General features: G+C 32.1%; 1 long non-coding RNA gene across 2 annotated transcripts in view; it reads left to right on the top strand.

Annotated features, from left to right (window-relative positions):
* LINC00871 (long intergenic non-protein coding RNA 871) overlaps positions 1 to 18334 on the top strand; it is a 437745-nt gene that overhangs the window by 382219 nt on the left and 37192 nt on the right. Inside the window, exon 5 of one of the 2 annotated variants that reach the window (NR_102701.1) lies at positions 3531 to 3577. The exons of the other annotated variant lie outside the window; for it this stretch is intronic. This is a non-coding gene — a long non-coding RNA (long intergenic non-protein coding RNA 871). The remainder of the gene's footprint in view (positions 1 to 3530; positions 3578 to 18334) is intronic. 2 annotated transcript variants of the gene reach the window in all.

The following is an 18334-nucleotide window of genomic DNA, read 5'->3' on the forward strand; positions in this document are numbered from 1 at the left end:
AGGCAATCAGGTGATGATTCAAGGATTGTCACATTGCCTCTCTAAAAATAATAATATTTGGTAGCTGACACCAGGGAGAGACAATCTCCCGCTGATCCACAGCTGTTAATATTAAAGTGTTAATTGAATGCAGGCATCAGGGAGAAGCAAGAAGGGCTTCCAGTAAAATCTCAGGTATTGGGTAAGTAAGCCCAAGCATGTTCATTAAGAGACAGAATTTTGGAGAATGAGCTTCCAGGGGCACTCCACTGGAAAAGGGAAGAAAGCCTCAGATGGGCATGCATACGATTTCCTAAACACACTGCTCAGGCTCACTTCCCAAGGATAAGGAGTGCACTGCACATACAGGGAGCCCATTCTAAGGTAAGAATCACGGGAAAGACAGGCAAGACACTGGAGGTGGGCCACCCTATAAAGTTGTAGGATTAAGGTTAAACAGAGCACTTGCTCTTCAAATGGACCACTTGGCGCTCTCTCAAGTGCACTTTCCTTTCTTTCCCGTGCTAAAGCTTTTTAATAAACTTCCAATCCTGCTCTGAAACTTGGCCTCAGTCTCTTTTTCTGCCTTATGCCCCTCAGTCGAATTCTTTCTTCTGAAGTAGGCAAGAATTGAGATTGCTGCAGACCCAGATGGATTCACCACCAGAAACTCAAATACCTTCCACTAGTAACAAACTGGTGAAGGAAGAGTTGATAATCATAGTTTGGCAGCTTCACAAGCCAAGTGGCTTGAGTCTTGGTTTAGATAAAAGATGAGACTCTTCTTCTTTGACTCCTTAAAGTCTCATTTTTTTGAGTCAGTTGAGTGGTGGGCTTTTCTCTGGTATTATCTTTGTGAATGTGCAAAGCAAGATTTGAAGCTAATCTCAAAATACCATACAACTTTTTGTTGTTGATGCTGTTATTGGCATAATGATTTACTGATTAAAAGGAGACTGTTGTTCAGGCGGCAGGACTGGCAACTCAGTATGTGGTTTGCTTATAAACCTGTGAACACAGAAATTTCTGCTCCTAGTAGGTAAGGATTTTATCTTTTCCTAATCATTAAAGATGTGTTTGCATTAGCATATGGAGTGAAATACAAAGGTTCTATCTTAAATAAATGAAACAATTTGTCACTGCATGTGGCAAGACTTCCTCCCTGTGATAATGAATACTTGTATAGGAGAGGAAACTGCAAAGAACTGGGAATTGAAATACAAAGAAGGGAGCTGAATCTTACCTTACTGAAAACAGAGCTTTTGTTTTTAAGTGTAAATCTACCATTTATTATATCCTCTGTTGAGATAAATGTATTATTCAATGTGTTTTAACTACGACCTTGAAAAATTACAAAGAAATGTATACTGCAAAAGAGAAAAAATTAATTAGGCTTAACACTAAAAGAGTTTCTTTTGTTTAAATTATCTAAAGTAAAAAGAAGTATTAAGCCTTTGTGAAATGAACTTTGACTCCTTTTCTAATTATCAAGTGAAAATTTCCATAACTAATTATTTGTTTTACAAAGATAAGTTTCCAAACCCGTAGTGCACTTGGAATAAGATTCATTAAATTACATAATTTTATGCTGAAACTACATCTTAGATTTATGGAAAGGAAATTTTCACAACTATTCCCATAAATAAATAGCATACAGAGTGAATAACCATACTTCGAAGGAATCTGATAAATGTAAAAATAGAACAACTGTCTTAATTTTACATCGTACGGAATCTTGCAAACCAACATGTAAGACTCTGAGACATTCATTATTGTTTATAAAATAATTGCAATGATAGAGTTTAAACGTTAAAATATATCTGCCATGAGAATTACAAATTATAGACTTATTATAAGAATAAAGTTTTATGTAATTGTGGGAGAGACTGGGGAAAAAAAAATCTAAGGGAGATTTGGGAGATCAGGGAAAAGTCACAAATCAGTCCTACTAAAATAACGATTTATGCAAAAAAGTCAGGAGTTGCAGGGGATTCTGGGAAGCCGGTAATGTAGAGCTGCCAAATAAAATGGAAACATCAGAGAAGTAAAGGGAAAATATTTGGGGAAATTGTTCACATTGCATAAATCCTGCTTTTAAAGGTCTTCAGCAGAACATCTGACTGTGGGCTTCAGTTTCTTTTCAGCCACAGGGCTGGCAGTGAGAAGAGCTGAACACAGAGTAACACAAAATGGAACCAACTCTTTTTGACTGTCACAGCATTCAATTTAATCACCTTCAAAGAGTAATGGTAGCTGCTTAACTTCTGTCTTCTAAATGTGAAACAATTTCTTATTTTGGCTAACTCTAATCACAGTGACAGGAGGCAGTCATATGCCTAGGTAGATAGGGACAGGTCCTCAGTGAAACCCCACCTCCAAGGAAGACAGTTTAAAGCCTGAAAGCCAAGCTACAAGTCAAATCCACAGACTGGATTAAGAACCTGTCTTCCCATTTGGCAGGCTTTCCTCTGAGTGATCCCCACCCTTCGCCTCTTTTACAGATACCTACCCTTTCCTAATTGGTTTTCTATAGTCGTGCCCACCTTTGCACCATGTCTTCTCTTTAACCTTTTTTGCATACTCAAAGCCAATCAGCATGCACTCCCCATTCTGAGTCCATAAAATTCCTGGACACAGCCACACTGGAGGAGAAACCCACCTGAGTGCAGGGGTGAGGAACCACGCCTGTGGCCCCTCTCCACTGAGAGCTGTTCCATCACTCAATAAAGTTCTTCCCCGCCCTCCTCGCTCTTTGAACTGTCAGTGTATCCTCATTCTGCTTGGATGAGGGACAAGAGCATGAGAACCACCAAATGCAAGTACAAGTTATACCACGGGCAGGCCAAGTCGGTGGGGTGCCTCCAGTGGCAGGCCCGGCCTGAGTGAGGCCTGGGTAGCAGGGGGGTGTTGCTAATTGTGGAGGTCCCTGGTTGGCAAAGTGGCTGAGAAAAATCCTGCATCACTAGGCTGGAGGATATAAAATATGAAATTCCAGGCAACAGTTTTAACATAACTAAGTTGACAGAGTACATACTGCTACATAGTGGAATATAAATTATATAGACTTCTAAGTAATGGCTAAGAAAAATAATTGAGACAAGTGCATAGAAATTAATCTAGTAACAACCACATCAATTCTGCTTTTACCATTATAGAAAGTGTAACTTATAGAAGACAGAAATGTGTATAATGGTAATAAATTAAAATTGCAGAGACTATTGGATTAAATTTAGTAGCATCTGAGAAAAAACTCAGATAACGGTAGGTAAACATGAATAAATTTACTTTGAGGATGAAAAGAACAAGCTCATTGATGGTCTAATTGTTTTTGATATGGAAAAATATTAGGGTTAATAGAAAATAGAAACATTTTAAATTGTTAGCAAAATTGTTATAGAAATCTCTCCAAAAACATCTTACATAAACTTAGTGAGGTCATTCTGAATGGAAAATGAATGAGAGTAATATGAAGATTTCATCCATGCAAATCATATCTTCTTTTACATGGATGGACCTTCCTGTACAGGAATACACTGGAACCTCAAAATCAGAATTTCAGGACAGTTTTGTCTTACGTGGGAACAGGGAGCAAAAGAAGGTAAGCAGAAAAAAAATAAGAGGTGACAAAATATTTTTATCTTGTTTCATCTTTTTTTCCCAACAATACATTTTTTTAAAATTTTAATCCTGCAGAACTTTATAGTAAACAACCATACACTTTTTACTCAGGTTGACAAATTGCTAAGAGTGTGCAGTTGTTTTGCCTATAAATAGATAGATGGATGAATACATACATGGATGGATGGATGGATGGATGGATGGATAGATAGAGATAAAGTGTGTTTAAAAGACTTTTTAGCTCCTCATATCAAAGGCAAAGTTGGTATCCCAACGGCTTGAATCTGGGGTGGTCTTTTGTCTTGCTTTGATCCATGGAATGCAGCAGAAGTGTCATCATGTGAGTCTTCAATCTAGGTCATGAACTCTTAGAAGCTACCACTCTCCTCCTATTGGAAATCTGCTGTGATAGGAATATACTCCAGCTAACCTTCACAAAGTCCACGTAGAGCATAATTAAGGTGCTCAAACCAATAGCCTACAAAGCACTAGGCATGTGAATATAGTGATCCCAGATCATCCACTCCCAGAAGAAATGTCAGGTGACTGACTCCATTATGATTGAGCTCAGGAAGATGAGCAGGATCATCCTTCTGAGCCTTTTCCTTATTGGCAGCCAGAAATTTGTGAGTTAATAATTGATTGTTACACTAAGCCATTAAGTTTGGGGTCGTTTGGAATAGAAAAGTCTAAACAATACAATCGATAAATGACTGCTTTAGCCATTACTCAGTGAGTAACAGACCTAAAAATTCTTCATTGTTAAGTACTTCAGCATATAACTTCCAAGAATATATAATTTCAGTGTAATTTTCATACTCAAGTAAGTTAACTGATTAATATTATCTACTATACGTACTGAAGTTTTCTTAGTTCAGTGATGTTAGTTATATCATTTTCAGCTTTTATTTGGTATAATCAAGGATCAAAAATAAATTTATTAGTCATGCCTCTTTAATATCCTTTAATCTAAACGCATACCCTTATTCTTATAGTGTTTTCATTTTTTACAATCCTTGCCAATTTTTTTGCAGAATATTTCTCAATATAGATTTTTCTAATTATGTAGTTATGATTGGATGTAAGTAAAGCATTTTTGATAGATAAGACCTATATGATGCCATCTACTTCCCAGTGTATTACATTAAAAGGCACATGATTTCAGTTTATACTGAAATTGGTATAAAATTCATTATGCTAATTTCGATCATTGGGTTTAAGTGGTGTCTGATTTTATTACTTTTTTAGTACATCTTTATTTTTAATCACAGTAAGAAAGTCATTACCCATATCCAGGTCCCAGGTGAATCTACCCATGCTGTGTATATATGTATTCTTTTGATTCTTTATGATTTGAGGTACAGATCCAATTATACATTTTCTTAAATGGCTACTCAACTGATTTATACCACTTATTAAATATTATTATAGCATTGGCTTGATATTTCATCTTTATCACAAATTAAATATCCATATTACTGGGTGGGTCAGTCTATTTTGACTTTCTGTTTTGTGCCTCTCTCTACTCTTGAAGCAATATTGCTTAATATAGAAGCTCTAAGGCAATACAATCCAGTAGACTTTCGGAGGTAATGGAAATGTTTCATAGCTGCATTGTGCAAAATGATAGCCACTTGAAATATGGCCAATATGACTGATAAACTGAATTTTTATTTTATTTACTTTTAGTTAATTTAAATTTTGACTTACAAAGATATTTGTGACTAGTGGCTACTGTACCAGAGAGTATACTATCAAGGGTGTTCTATATTTGTCAGGGGTCAACTGTCCTCATTGCTTTCACTTTTGATAGTTTTTCTAGAATTTATCGAATGTCCATTTTTCATATATAATTTAGAACTGACTGTTCCCTAATCTCAGATAAAGAATGTTGATATTTTATTGGCATTATATCAAAATATATAAATTAACTTAGAAAAAATTAACATATATGTTTCCATAGTAAACAATTTAACCTTGTCCAAAAAGAGGTCTGACCTTTGCCTTCAAATTCTAGGACATGACTTAGGGTGGCGGCATTGGGTCATGCAATATCAGGTTGAACTGCAGAGGGGATAGAGACTGAGGTCAACCTTCAATAAAAATTATGGACACCAAGACTCCGGTGAATTTCCTTGGCTGTCAATATTTAATGCCTATTGTAACATAGTGTTAATGTTATACATGACTTTACTGGAAAAGGACAACTGAAAATTCTGTATTTGGAGCTTTCCTGGACTCTGCTTTGTGGGTCTCTTCCCTTAGCTGATTTCAGTGCATGCCCTTTCACTGTAATAAATGATAACTATGAGTATTGACAGCTTTCTGTGAGTTTTGTGAGTCCTTCTATTCAATTATCAAAGCTGAAGGTAGTCTTGAGTACCCCAATACTTGCAACTGATGTGCGAAGTAAGGGTGGTCTTGAGGACCCCTAACTCTTCAGTTGGTGTCTGAATTAGAGTGATCTTGTGGACTGTTTTCTAACCTCACAACATGACAATGCATTTCATCCAAAGAATGCATTTTCAGTTGCTTAAAGCTATTTTTATATGATTTGAGTTTTTTATGGCTTTTCTTATATAGATTTTGACCTTTTTTTTCTAATTTTATTCCTAAATGTTTTTTTTTCTTTCTTTTATTTTTGGAATACTGCTAGTGTTAGAAGAGTTTTCCCTTCTGTCTTATCTCCTAACTAGTTTTTGTTTGAGTATATGAAGGCTACTATGCTAATTGTATATTTGGTTACTTTGGGAATTATTTGCCTTGAGTTAGTTCTATGATTATCAAATATTTTTCAGGTATATTATTAGTTCTTGTGGAAATAGGGATAGTTTTATCTTTTCCTAATTTCTGCCTCAAATTCTTGTCTCTTTTCTAATTGTATTGGATAAATTGAATAGACACACATGTAAAGTATCTATGAATTCCTATTTTTATTCTTTTTTTCAATCAAGGATGAGAGTTGCATTTTATGATTGTCTTTATATCAATGAATATGATGAAATATGTTAATTTATATCATAATATAGAATTGTCCTTTCACTCTTGTATTCCTAGGGTAAAATCCTAGATGGTTTTTCTGTAAGAAATTCTCAATGTACTGCTCTAATATATGTGCTGATATTTTATTTAGGGTTTTTACACTGATATTTGTAAGTGAGATAGGTTAGCTTTCTTTCCATTTTCTTGTATCATTTTTTGTAAAATTTATCAAGTATGGGTATCAATGCTACATTTTAAATGTAAATTTGAGGTTTAATATGTAAATTTCAAGTTTTTCACCATTTTTATTTTCTGGAACAATTTATATAACATTGGGATTCAGTGGTGTTTGAAGTTTGATATTGTAAAAACATCTGGACCTGGTAAATTGGTGAATTGTGTGTGTGTGCATGTGTGTGTGTGTGTGTGTGTGTGTATGCAAGAGAGAGAGATACTATTTAATAATAATTTACCTCTCCTCTGAAAGTTTACCTCTCTGAACTTTTAATGGCTATGGGTCAATTTTGGTAAACTGTATTTCCAGCCATGTTTCTTCCATTTTAACTTGTGCTGAACTTAGATGTGAGAAGAGTATTAAGTTTTTTAAATGTCCTGCTTCATTTGGAGCACATTTATCCCCATGAATAACTTGTTTAAATATTATGGCTTAATGTATGAATTTTAGGTTCAACATGAAATCTACCAGAGCTTGTATGTGAGGTTTTGTTCAAATTTCCCATGCTGTTCAAAGCCTAGTATTTACCTTCTGTGCTGTGTGAAGTCATTAATACAGAAGTGCTGGGGATTGGCTGAAGCTCCTTGGTAGCCTCAGACTTAGAAATTTTTTTACTTCTGACCTTGGAAATGTCTATTTATTTCTTTACTAGCTCAGTCATGTGCTAATAAAATAAAATAGATGATATATTTCATCAGAACTTTTTAGTAAAAACAATTTCAGTATATGCAATCTGCCATAAAAATTTGACATAAAAGAATACAAATGACATCTTCCAGTTTATATTAAATAAAATAAATTCATATGGATTGCTTTTTTCCCTATTAAATTAGCTGTTGTATTATAGCACTAGTGATCCATTGTCTTCATCTCTTTTCACTAACGGATAATTTTATATTGAAAATGTGTCTTAGGATTTCTCATTTATAAGTTCACTTATTTTTTAAATCAGTTAATACTGAGGTTTTACATTTGAAAACACATCCATATTAATGCAAATAATTCTATTAAATACCATAGATTACTAAGATTATATAACATCTTTACCAAGATCATTAAATTTAAACTATTATTTGTTTATACAATTTCTACATCTAATTCTTCTCATTTGCAACACTCTCCATCTGCAGTTCATAACAAATAAGTAATATCTGCCTCTTCACGTTCCTTTCATAGAACATCATATAAATATTTGGTCTACATGGCAGTCAATAAGTTTTATGGATCCTGCATATGTTATAGAAAGTTTTTTAAAAAATAGTTTTCTTATAATTCCCAAAAAAAGGTTCTTGCTGTCAGTTCAAATGGAATAAATGCTAAGTAACTAATTCACTAATGGAAAGACCAACTCAAGGTCAACTATTTTCTGTGCTCTACCTAGAAATGTTACTGTGAGTAGAAGAAAAATTCTAAATAATGACTGGAGGTTATTTGTCATAAATAATTGCTCTTGAATACAATACTAAAATCTGCATTAAAAATAAAATATTTTATATCTGTGCACAGAATATTCAGATGTCAAAAGGAGGCCAACTTCATAATAGGAAAACTTAAATTATAAGTAACTGTTAGAAAAATTTTTCACTGAATGCTTATTGCTTTATGTATCAACATAGACATTTGACTATTTTCCAGTTTTATTGAGCTATAACTGACAAATAAAAATTGTATATATTCAAGTTATACAACGTGAGTTGATATATGTATACACTCTGAAGTGATTACCACAATTAAATTAATTAACATATATAATCACACAATTACCCTTGTGTGTGTGTCTGTCTGAGTGTGTATAGCAAGGATCTTTCCCAAAGATTTACTATCGCAGAAATTTCAAATAAAGAATACATTATTATTAGCTAAAGTCACCATGCTATACATTAGAATATTATATTTTATTCATCTTATAACTGAATTTTTGTACCCTTTTGACCAGTAGCTCCCCATTTTCCCTAACCCCCAGCCTCTGACAAACACCATTCTATTCTGATTCTATAAGTTTAATTTTTTTAGTTTTCACGTACAAGTAAGGTCATAGAGTATCTTTTTGTGGCTGGCTCATTTTACTTAGTATAATGATCCAGATTGTTGCAAATGGCAGGATTTCCTTCTTTTTATAGTTTAATAATATTCCACTGTATATACACACCACATTTTCTTTTTCCATTTATTCATTGGCAGACACTTAGGTTGTTCCCAGTCTTAGCTATTGTGAATAATGCTACAACAAATTAGGGGTGCAAATATGTCTTTGAGATACTGATTTCATGTCCTTTGAATATGTATTCAAAATTGGAATTGCTAGATGTGGTAGTTCTATTTTTAACTTTTAGGTACCTCCATAATGTTTTACACAATGACTTTACCAATTTACATTTCCAGCAATGGTGTGTGAGGGTTCCCTTTTCTCCACGTCCTTAACATTTGTTTTCTTGTCTTTTCAATAATAGCTAGATAATAGATTTCTAATAGATAATAGATAGATAGAGGCAACATCTCATTGTGGTTTAGATTTGCATTTCCCAATAGTGATGTTAGCCCTTTTTCATATACTTGTTGGCCATTTTAATGACTTTGTTGAAAAGATGTCTATTTAGGTCATTTGCCCGTTTAAAATCAGGTTATTTGAGTTTTTTGTTTATGTGTTTTCTTGTTGTTGTTGTTATTGAGCTGTATGAGTTCTTTATATATTTTGAATATTAAAAGCAAAAATAAAAGAAGGGGATTGAAAATGAAAAGCATCTGCACAGCAAAGGAAGCAATCAACAACAGGCAGTCCAAGGAATGGGATAAAATATTTTCAAAACATATATTTGATAAAGGGCTAATATCCAAAATATGTTACTTACTCATAGGCCTTTTGGTTTTAATTTAATTCTTTTTCGTTTGACACTTTTTTCTTAAATCTTAGTAGGCCTTTCTTAATCATATCTATCTATCTGTATATATATCTCATCACACACACACACACACACACACACACACACATATATATATGTACACACATACCCATATGTATCTTTCTAACTGCCAGGAAACTCTAATGCAATGTATTATCACAACAGGTTGCCTAAAAAATGGTCAGTGACAAATTTCTAAAGAGTATTTGCTCTAAAGAGAATCTCAGCAAGAGATAGTAAACTAAAGCCTTTTTAAAATGTAATAATTTAAGATAGTCTATACATATAAGCATTTATAAAGATAATATATTGAAAAAATCACAAAACACAAAAGTATATAGAAAATTATATAAAATTCACTGTAATTCTATTATCCAAGAGACATGACGAATGTGTTGCTACAGTTGCTTTTTATTTGTAACATATCTGAATGTGTATTTTTTAAAGTAGCAACATTACTGAATATATTTTTAAACTATGAACTTTTTTCTCTTTTACATTGTACTAGGAATATTTTTTCATAATAATAAAATATACTTTTAAAAAACCTAGTCTTTAAAGACTAGACAAATGGTTTGCCACCTATTTAATCAATGCAGTTATTCTATTTTGGGAAATGTCAGTTGCTTACAATTTACTATTATAAAAAATGCCACATTGATATACATGATATCAAAATTTTCCTGAATAATTTATTATTTGTAAAGGTTGAATTACTGAATCAGGGTACATGTTTTTCATAAGGAGTATATAAATTTAATATTCCACTAATTTAATGTAAATTAGTCTATTAAGTAGGTATAAATGATATATTTCTTTGGATTTTGCATTTCTTTCTTTTATTCCAAGTAAATGTGAAAATTTTTATGGGCTAATTACAATTTTATCTTTAATATCAGGGTGTTAAAAATTCGATATTTTGGGATCGAGATAAAATCTACATAGAATTAAATGCATAAAATATTGAGTTTTAATATATGTATGTACTCAAACACCATCAAAATCAAGGCATAAAATAATTCCATTACCTCAGAAAGTTCTCTTGTGTCTCCTTTCCAACAACCACAGAAACCACTCTTTTAAATTATATCACAACAGATTAGGTTAGCCTCCACTCAAACTTTATATAAATGGGTTCATATCTGTTTTTAGTGTCTAGCTTTCTTTATTCAACAAAATATTTTTGAGTCTTTCCATGGTGTAAATGCTGCATGTATCAGTAATGCATTTTTATTTATTAATTTATATATATTATTGGTATTTAACTGTATGACTAAAATGTTAGTTTATCTATCTCTGGTTGGTAAATAATTACACTGATTCCAGTTTTATTCTGTTTTGAAAAAAGTATACAAACATTTTATACACTTTTTTGTGAATATATACATTTTAGTTTCTTTGGATAAATACTGAGCAGTCATATTGCTGGGTCTTAGTTTATTAGAAATTGAAAACTCTTTTTCAAATTGATTGTATGATGTGCAATGCTATTAGTAATGTAAGAGATGTTCTTCCACATCCTTGCCAACATTTAGTGCTCTTTTTTTATGTTAGTCATTTTAGATGTTCTAGTATCTCACTGTGATTTTAAATTATATTTTCCTAACTAGTAATAATGTAATGATATGGAGAAGATTTCATATCTAATGACCATAAAGTGTGTTTATTTATGATGATTTGTATATCATCCTTATGGAATACTTGTTCAAACGTTTTGCCTGTTTTTATTTTTTATTTTTATACATTTATAATAACTTTATTCTTGATTCACCTTTTATCAGATGTGTCTCACAAATAAATTTCTATGAATTTGTGACTTCATTTTTTAACTGTATCTTTTAATGAGTTCCTTTTATTTTGTATAAATTCTGTCATTAATTTTATTTTATGTTTAGTAAATTTTGTGTCCATAGATGTAGTAATTTATTTTTAATTTAATTTTACTGTGGCAAGAAAATATGTACTATAATATTTCAGTGTTTTGAAATGGTTCAGAAACATTTTATGGCTCTATCTTCATTAACATTTTCATATGCACTTGAAAAAAATGTGTATTCTTAATGTTTGATGAAGTACTCTATATGTCTATTAGAGCACCCAAGACAAGCTACCAAGTAACCAACTCATGATTCCACTAACCATGTAAAAGCCTGGTGCCCACTTACCACAGGGGGAGAACCTTAGCCAAGCAACAAGCTGACCAGCCTCATGCTTCCCTGAAGTATGGGCTGGACTGCACTCCACCCCCAGAAGAGTATAACCAAAATAGATGGATCAGCCACACAAACCTCTGCAGCCTAAGCTACTGAAGCATGCACATGTATCACTGACAGTAACTATAGCTGAAGAAACAGCACAAAACTGCACTATGGCACTGACCCAAAATGAAGTCAACCATTGGTTTTACCCTACCCAACCAACAATCTAGGACACATCTGCAGGTAAAAGTCTTTTCCCACAAAAACTACTCTACAAAATTGGAAGATATGACTATTCTGCCAAATATATGGATACAAGAAACATAAAAATGCAAGGAAGCATGACACCACTAAAGAAGCACAATAATTCTCTGTTAACTGAGAATTATACCAGTTCTTCTTTGGGAAGAAATGGAAATTTATGAATTGCCTGAAAAGGAATTCAAAATAATAGTATTAAGAAAACTCAGAAAAATATAAGAGTATGCAGATGAACAATTTAACAAATTCTGGAAAACAACTTATCATCTGAATTAACAATTCAAAATGAGATAGATATTAAAAAAGAACCAAACTGAAATCTTGAAGCTGAAGAACTCAATGAATAAAATTCTTTAAAATAATCCAGTCATATATAAAAAAGAATACAATAGAATAAAGAAAGTCTGTTGGACTATGGGACACCATTAAGTGAAAAAGTTTTTTAATTAAGAGAGTTTCAAGACAAGAGATGGGAAAAGGCTTGGAAAACCTATTTAATGATATAATATCTGAAAACTTCACAAGTCTTGGAAGACATATGGACAACTAAATTCAGGAAGCCAAAGATTCCATATAGTTTCAAACTAAAATGATCCTTTCTGAGGCACATTACAGTCAAACTGAAAAGTCAAAGACAGGGAATTCTAAAAATCTTAAAGAATAGCATCAAGTTGCATACGCGGGTGTGCCCATTAGAAGAATCTTCTCACAGAAGATTTCTCTCAGGATTCGACAGATCATCTAGGCAGAAAACCAACAAAAAACATAAGATTTAATCTGCAGTATAAAAAAAGGACCTAAAAAACATGTACAGAACATTCCATCCAGCAATAGCAGAATACACATTCTTCTCATTGGTGCCTGGAACGTCTCTCAGGATAAACCACATACTAGCCCAAAAAAATAAAGTATTAATAAATTTAAGAAAAATTAAAATATATCAAGTATTTTTGGGACCATAATAAAATAAACCTAGAAATCAATAACAAAAACTTTGAATACTGCACAAATACATAAAAATTAAACAACCTCTCCTAAACAACAATGTGTCAAGGAAGAAATTATTAAGGAAGTAAATAAATTTATTGAAACAAATAAAAACAGAAATACAACATGCTAAAACCTATGGAATACAACAAAAGTAGTATTAAGAGTGAGGTTTATACCAATAAGGACCTACATCAAAAATTTAGAGAGGTTTTAAACAACCTGACGATGCAACTCAATACACTAGAAAAGTGAAAACAAACCCAACTGCAAATTAGTAAAAGGAAATAAATAATAAAAGAGCTGAAATAAGTAACATAAAGACAAAAATAATATAATCAAATAAATTTGTCTTTTGAAAAGATAAATAAAATCAACAAGCTATTAGACTACCTAAGGAAAGAATAAAGAAAGAAAAACCAAATAAATAAAACCTAAAATGAAATATGAGACGTTACAGCAGATACCACAGAACTGCAAGGGATCATTACAGATGATTATGAACAACTATATGCTAAATAAAAATGGAAAACCTAGATGGAATTTATAAATTTCTGGACACATACATCCTACCAAGATTGAACCTGGAGGAAATAGACAACTTGAACAGACCGGTAATGACTAATAAGATTGAATCAGTAAAAAAGAAAAGAGCATTCTAACAAAGAAAAGCCTGGGACAAGATGACATTATTGGCAAATTCTACCTAACATTTAGAGAAAAATTAATAATATTTTTGAAATTATTTCAAAATATTGAAGGATGGAGAATTCTTCCTAACTCATTCTATGTGACAAGCATTATCCCTATACCAAAACCAGGAAAGGACACTCCAATAGCAACAACAATAACAATGAGAAAAAACCTAGAGGTCAGTATTTCTGATGAATATAGGGTGCAAATATCCTCAAGAAAATACCAACAAAGTAAATCCATAAGCACATAAAAAAGATTATACACCATGATCAAGTTGGACTTTCCTAGGGATGCAAGAATGATCCAGTATACATGAATCAATAATGTGATATATCATACCAACAGAATAAGGAATAAAAATCATGTAATCCTTTCAATAGATGCAGAAAAACCATTTGATAAAATTCAGCATTTCTTGATGATAAAAACACTCAACAAATTAGCTTTAGAAGAAACATACCTAAATGCAATAAAGGCCATGTATGACAAGTTCACAGCCAACATCATAATGAATGGGGAAAAGTTGAAAGCTTTTGCTCTAAGAACTAGAACAAAACAAGGATGACCACTTTTACAACTCTTATTCAACATAATACTGAAAGTCCCAACCAGAGCAATCAGGAAAGAGAAAGAAATAGAACATATTGAAATTGGAAAAAAGAAAGTAAATTGTCTCTGTTTGCAGATGACATGATCATATAATAGAAAAATCTAAAGGAGCCATCAAAAATCTCTTGGGTCCAACAAATGAATTCAGTAAATTTGCAGGATGTGAAATCAATGTATAAAAATCAGTACCATTTCTATATACCAACAATGAACCAGTGGACAAAAGTATCAGGAAAGCAATGCCATTTATAATAGCAACAAAATAAATAAAAAATGTAGGAAGAAATTTTCCAAGGAGATGAGAGATCTCTACAATGAAAACTCTAAAATATTGATTTTAAAAGTTGAAGAGCGCACACACACAAAAATAGAAAGATATCCTATGTTTATGGATTGGAAGAATAAATTTTGTTAAAATGACCATACTACCCAAGATGATCTACAGATTCAATGCAATCCCTGTAAAAATACCAAAGATATTCTTCACTGAAATAGAAAAAAAAAATCCTAAAATTTATATGGAACCAGAAAATACCCTAAGTAGCCAAAGCAATATTGAGAAAAAAAAAAAAAAAAAAAAAAAAAAAAAAAAAAAAACATAGTTAGAGGCATCACATTACCTGACTTCAAATTATGCTACAAAGCTATAGTAGTCAAAACAGCATGACATTGGCATGAAAACAGAAGTGTAGACCAATGGAACAGAATAGAGAACCCAGAAACACTTCCACATTTTATAGCCAGCTGCTATTCAATAAAGGTGCCAAAAACATTGGGGAAAGGACAGTCTCTTGGATAAATGGTGTTGGGAAACCTGGATATCCATATGCAGAAGAACAAATCTATTCCTCCATTTCTTACCATACACAAAACCAATTCAAAATAAATTAAATACCTAAAAGAAAGACTTGGAAACTATGGAACTACTAGAATAAAACATAAGTGAACTGCTTTAAAATATTGATCTTAGCAAGGATTTTATGGTTAAGACCTCAAAACCACAGGTAACAAAAGCAAAAATAGTGGGATTATATCAAATTAAAAATGTTCTACAGAACAAAAGAAACAATCAATAGAGCTAAGAGACAACCTGAAGGATGGGAGAAAATATTTGCAACTATTCATCTAATAATTGATTAATATCCCATATAGGTAACTCAAACAACTCAACAGCAAAAAAGTAAAAATAAAAATTGATCAAAAACGTTCAAATGATCTCAGTAGACGTTTCTCAGAGGAAAACATACAAATGGCCAACTACATGAAAACATGTTTAACATCACTAATTATTGAAAGAAAACAAACCAAAACCACAATGAGATATCATCTCACTCTGGTTAGAATGGCTATTAGTTTAAAAAAATGGTGATGACGATGCAGAGAAAAAGGAACTCTTATACATGATAGATGGGAATACAAATTTGTATGGATGTTCCTCAAAAAGATAAAAATAGAATTGCCATATGATCCTCCAATCCTATTATTGGGTATATATGCCAAGGAAAAGAAATTTGTTTGTCAAAGAGATATCTGCACTCCCATGTTTATTACAGCACTATCCACAATAGCCAAGATATGCAGTCAACCTAGTGTTCATCAACACATGAATGGATTAAAAAATGTGGCATATATACCATTCAGCCATAAAAAGCATGAAGTCTTGTCATTTGCAGCAACATGGATGGGCCTGGAGAACATTATGTTCAGTGAAATAAGTCAAGCATGGAAAGATCAATACCACATGTTCTCAGTCCTACGTAGAAACTTAAAAGTTGATCTCATAGAAGTAGAGAGCAGAATAGTGGTTACTAGTGGCTGAGAAGAGTGTTTAGGAAGGTTATGGATACAAAATTATAGCTAAGTTGGAGGAATAGTTCAAGTGTTCTATAGCACTGTAGAGTGAATATAGTACACAATAATTATTTTATTTTTTCAAATAGCTAGAAGAGAGGATTTTGGATGTTCCCAACACAAAGTTTTGAGGTGACAGTTATGCTAATTACCCTAATTTGATCATTACTCATTGTATACATGTATCAAAATATCACATTGTACCCCATCAATATTCACAATTATGTGTCACTTTAAAAATATTTATTTAAAAAAATTTAAAATATTTATTAGGCCAAGGTGTGTGATGGTATTATTCAAAACTATAAACTTATTAATTTTATTTTCTATTCTATTAATTACTAAAATATGGGTATTAAAATATCTAGGTATGACCACAGATTGTCTATGTATCGTATCAGTTCTGTTGGTGTTCTCAACGTATTTTGAAGCTTTGCTATTGCTATTGGGAGTATGCACATTTATGGTTATTGTGTCTTCTTTTTTTAAAATTACTCTTTATAAAATTGTTTTCTTTATCTCTAATTATCTTCCTGTCTTGAAAATTCACTTGTTTTTGTTGAAACAGTCCAGCTTTCATGTGATTATTGTTTACATTATATATCTTTTATTCATCATTTTACTTTCCACCTAAGACTTTATCTTTAAAGTACATGGATTATAGTCACCATATAACTGTTGAGCTCTTTTTTAAAAATCCGGTCTCAAAACATCTAATATTTAGTAGCATGTTTAGCCCATTTACATTAAATATAGTTGTTGATATTGTTGGATTTGTTTCCACCATTCTGTTATTTGTTTAGTATTTATCTCTGTATACTTTGCATTCCTCTGTTTCTCTTTTTCTGCTTTACCTTGGGTAAGTGGAATGCTTCTTTTAAGATTCAAGTTTAATGTTTATATTTTATTTTGCATTTTTAGAGGATCCTCCTTGAACTGTACTGTTCAATACAGTAGCTTATATGTACCTATATGTATCTATTTAAATTTCAAATTTAATTAATTAAACTGAATATAATGATTTGTCTATCACTTTCCTAGAGATAGAAATAACATAATCAAATTTGCATTTTAGAAAATAATTCACATTAAGAATGTTATAAAGGATGGACTCAAGGCAGGAACACACAGAGGATATGAAAATGAAAACAGGAATATAGAATGAGAGGATTTCAGAAAAATACATTATTATTAAATAAGCTAATATAATGAGGGTCTGAATTAGAGAAATGGCAATGAGTTTAGAATGGATTCTAGAGATACTTAGCAATAGAAGCAATGGGAATTACTGAATAGTGTTAGTGAAAGGCTCGTGAAAGAAAACCATGTCAAAGATGAGATTTGTAATTAGATCGATTGTTCTTTTTTAATGTTTTGACAAGCATCAGGAATACAGAAGCAGGAGACAATTTTAAAGTGAGGTGAGTAAAAAAATGAAATTAATTTTGAACTTAAAATTGCGTGCCTATGGCTTTTGGATGTGTCCAATAGGAAGGATGGAAGAGCAATATATTTTAATTTTGTGCAGTTAGTAAAATAACATCAAAGTCTCTAAAATTATACATCTCAGTACAGAAATGTATAAAATAGAAGCAAATAGGACAGTCTAATAGAATATAAAAATAATGAAATGGCATCTCACTGATTGTCTGATCATTCTCTCTTTTTGGAAATAAAGATTCCCAAACTACCTAATGCTGATTTCATTACTATTTTGTTATTTCAGAGTCTTCTGTTTCCGTTTTGGGTAGCCCTTTTCCTTTCCCAACTCCCTACTGCATTCAGTGAAAAGGGCTCTCAAGTTCACCTGTCAAATTCAATTAACTGCTGTAAGCTGTCCATGGTGACACTTGCTATAATTAATAGAGAAAACCAGCATAAATGCACCCTTCAGAGTACTCTGTAATTGAGTGTGAAGTCTCATGAGATCTCTTCCTCAATTCCAAGTGCATGGAGGTTTTGGATGGTATGTGGGTTGTGCTATAGAAACCATTTATAAACAAGTTGTATGTGTGTTG

Source organism: Homo sapiens, chromosome 14, assembly GCF_000001405.40.
Source record: "Homo sapiens chromosome 14, GRCh38.p14 Primary Assembly".
Lineage (NCBI taxonomy): Eukaryota > Metazoa > Chordata > Mammalia > Primates > Hominidae > Homo > Homo sapiens.